The sequence below is a fragment of the Homo sapiens genome, chromosome 4 (assembly GCF_000001405.40).
Source record: "Homo sapiens chromosome 4, GRCh38.p14 Primary Assembly".
Taxonomy (NCBI): Eukaryota; Metazoa; Chordata; class Mammalia; order Primates; family Hominidae; genus Homo; species Homo sapiens.
Window position 1 is genome coordinate 73,003,514 of NC_000004.12, and position 3,905 is coordinate 73,007,418.

The window sequence follows — 3,905 nt, forward strand, 5'->3', positions numbered from 1 at the left end:
GGTGATAGTATTAAAAGGTGGGGCCTTTGAAAGTCGATTAGGTCATGAGGGTGGAGCTCTCGTGATTGGGATTAGTGCCTTTATAAAAGAGATACTAGGGAACTCCATCACCCCTTTCGCTATGCGAGGACACAGCAAGAAGGCAATCATCCATAGATGGTCAGGTAAGGGTCCTCACCAGACAGTAAATCTGCCAGTGCCTTGATCTTGGAGTTCCCAGCCTCCACAACAATGAGAAATAAAATTCTGTTGTTTATAAACCACTAAGTCTATGGTATTCTAACAGCCAGAAACAGATGAAGACAGAGTGATAATTAATGCATCAATGTAGCTTCATTGCTTGTAACAAAGGTACTACTCTGATGCCAGCTCTTGATAATGGGGAAGGCTGTGGGTATGTGGGGGAAGCAGTATGACTATTTTTTTTAAGTTTGATATCTGGATATTTTTTCACTTTAACATTAAATCATATGGAATGGATACATAACAGGAATGTGGCTTCTCCGGGCTCTCAATCTTCTCTAGTTGGCTGGGGGATCCTATTGTAACTGCATTCATCATCAATACAATCTTGAGCAAATCACTATTTCTGAAAGTCTCATTTTAAAGGGCTTTTTATTCTTTTCTTACATAATTCCTGCACAAACACCTCTCCTTCTCATTGCATGCCACTTCATTTTCTCTTTGTGGCATCTTGCCTATCAGAGATAAAATCAGCTTTTCTAAAGCCTGCCTTTATTTTTACCAGCATTTTAAAGTCTGTATTAAAAAAAGGAATTACAGACTTAGATAACACTGGTTCCCTTCTCCCCAGTCTTCTCCCACCACCCACCACGCAGTCAGTTCTACAAGCTCCTATCAGAGACAGAATTGTAAAGAGTCCATATTCAATCAAGCGATTTCTTGGCTGGCACACCCACCTGCCTTTCAGGCCATGAACACCTGTCTCAGTCTCAGTCTGACCTCCTTGCCATTTCCCCAGTGGATCATGACACTTTCCCATTTCCATCGCCTTGCCTTTGTCTCTCCTCCTTCCATGCCTTTTAACCCTTTTTACCTGGAAAAAAATGTTTACAACCCCTTACATTTCAACTTAGCTTTTCAGTGCAACTCTCCTTAACACTCCCTCCCCCAAGATAATATCAATTAACACAATCCTTCTTCTGGTTTATATCACTTGCATTATTGCTTATTATATTATACTATGATTAGTTATCCATGCAGCTGTCTTTCCAGTGGACTATAAGAAACTTGGGGCACAACTGACCATAGTCATTTTTGTAGGTCCAAACTTCTACTTGAGGGGCTGGCATTGAGTAGAAGGCTAGGCTTATTTTATGAAAGTATTCACATAATCAATATCTATGAGTAATTTATCTGACCAAAGAGAAGAGCCAAGATTCTCTAATCTCACCCATGAAAGGAGCAAATAAAGATTTTTCCTTATTTCTGTCTGGTTGGCTAGAATACATATTTTATTTGTATTACAGTCTTTCAAGTATATAATATGACCTTTTCTTTCCTCATCAATTTAGTTTAGAATAGCACAGTTTTTTCCCTTGTATATGAAGGTCTGAAGAATTGGATATATCTTTGGAGTTAAAGGTTGGCCCTGTCTGAAAATGGCAATGTAAACTTGAACAATGATTATTCCCAAAATTTCATCCATCTATTCAGTCACTCAAACATTTTATATCTTCCATATGGAACAAATAAAGTTCTTCTTTTTATCCATTAATTTTACACCAGATATAGAGAACAGGACTATTTAGATCAAGCTCACAAGTAGAGTACAAAATGCCTCCGAAAATCCAAAATTTTATGAAAATTTTAACATTAGCCAGATCTAAATCTCATGAGTTCCACAAGAATCAGCCCCTGCAGCACTCACTAAATAATGCTTTCCTCCAGCAGCCTGAAGCCAAAACCAGACTAATGGTTTTTAGGAAGGAGTAGTAATTTCAGAAGATGGGAAAATATGAGGAAATATGATGATCTACTGAATGTTATCCTCCATTGCTGCCACCAACACTATTCACCCCCCATTCACCCACTGTCACACACACAAACACATGCCTTCATATAACTCTCCTGAGCAAGGCTGCCGTCAGAGGCATGTATCAGTAGTTACAGTAGTTTTCCAGCCTTGCTTATATACTACAGAAACCAGGTTAAATGGGGGCAGCCAGGTTCCAAAAATTTTCCTGACTTACAGAAACTTTTGTTTCCAGAAACCCATGTGGAAAAGACATCAGGTTGAAACATGTCAGAGTTTGATGGGAAACCCATTGAGCTGGCAGCCACTGGACCTGAATTCTCATGCTGGTTCTGCCATGGTGAACTTTAGCACATCTCTTTTTATTTCTAGATCTCAGTTCACTCATCTACCATAGAACATAATTTCCAAGATTGTGTTTATTTGCACTGGGGTACACACACTTCTCAAGGTACATGCACATGTGCTAGGTGCAAAATAAGTAAGAATATAACTTGGAGTTTTCCAAAGTTACAAGATTTTTAAAGAAAAAACAGTAGACATCAAAGACATAGTATGCTCATTCTGGGTGGAACTTTCTCTGTGCCCCCAAACATCTGGTGAATATGCTCTTTTTCCTCTGCTGTTAGAAGTCCTTTCGTCAAAATGATGGCAAAATACTGATAAATGCTTTCCAAAGTCCTTTCTATATATTTTCATCCTATGATTCTCTGAATTAAATGGCAAACAGCCAGTTTGCCAGTTTGATTTAAACCATGGTTGTAATTTACTACTTAAACACAATGCTTTGCATGTAAAGAAGTTAAAATTCCAAAGTAATATCACAATCCAAACTCAAATGTCCTGTCTTGGTGGTGAGGGAAAATAGAGATATAAGAGAGAAAATTCTTGCAAGAGTGCACCTGATTCTTCACAGGTGAGAAAGAAAAGCAGAAGTGAGAAGAAAAGATAATATGTTGAACTAGCCTGAAAATGTGGCTGGGACAAAATGGAAATCCCCCAGAGAGAAGAAGCAGAGAAGGTGTTCCCGTGAGGGGAAAGGAATCACCTTCTCCCCGCAAGAGTGTTCAAAAACTACATTCTAGTAAATATAGCCTAGGTAGTTCGATTACTTTGGTTCTGGAAGTCTGAGAAATAAAAGCTATGAAGAGTAAAATAAATTTTTCATAGAGAGCTTCTCCAAATTATGCTTCTCTCCTTGTCCATGTTTCATATGCACAGATTACTATAATCATAAATCTTGGTATAAGCCACTCAGTCTTCATTTCATTACTTTGTGGAGAATATGATGCTTTTTGAATACCGTGACTCACCATAATACATCCGGCTGATTCCAATATGTCTTTCAAAACCAAGAATGTAAATCCCCACAGAAAAATACAGTATGTTTAGGTCTTTTATCTTGGCAACCTCCATCAGCCAAGAAGAGTATGTCCCATTGTCCCATTGTCATTCGTCAGGATGCTTAGACTTTTATAAAGTGGGAGTTTTCAGAAGAAACATATCTAAATTAAGACCCACAAAATGAAGACGCATTTTTAGGGAGACATATATATGGGAAATATTTTCTTACATTTTAATTTCTGCTAACATTTTGATAATGGGGTTTGTGTCATAAATACTAAACAAGGAACCAGTTTAAAGACTGCACTCATATGAGGGAACACTATTGTAGTCAAAGCCTTCCTTATAGGCAGAACTGAAATTCAGCTGCATGACACGTGACAACACAGTCATTTGTATATATTAAGAAAAATGAATGAGAAGAATAGTGCACTGAATAGATTACCCATGATTTATGAAAAGAAGGAACCATTATCTGCTATCAAATTTACAAACTTAGCATATTCCATGTGCCTCATTGTTTCACCTATTTATTAAAATGAAGATGAGAAAGGAAAAACGGAAG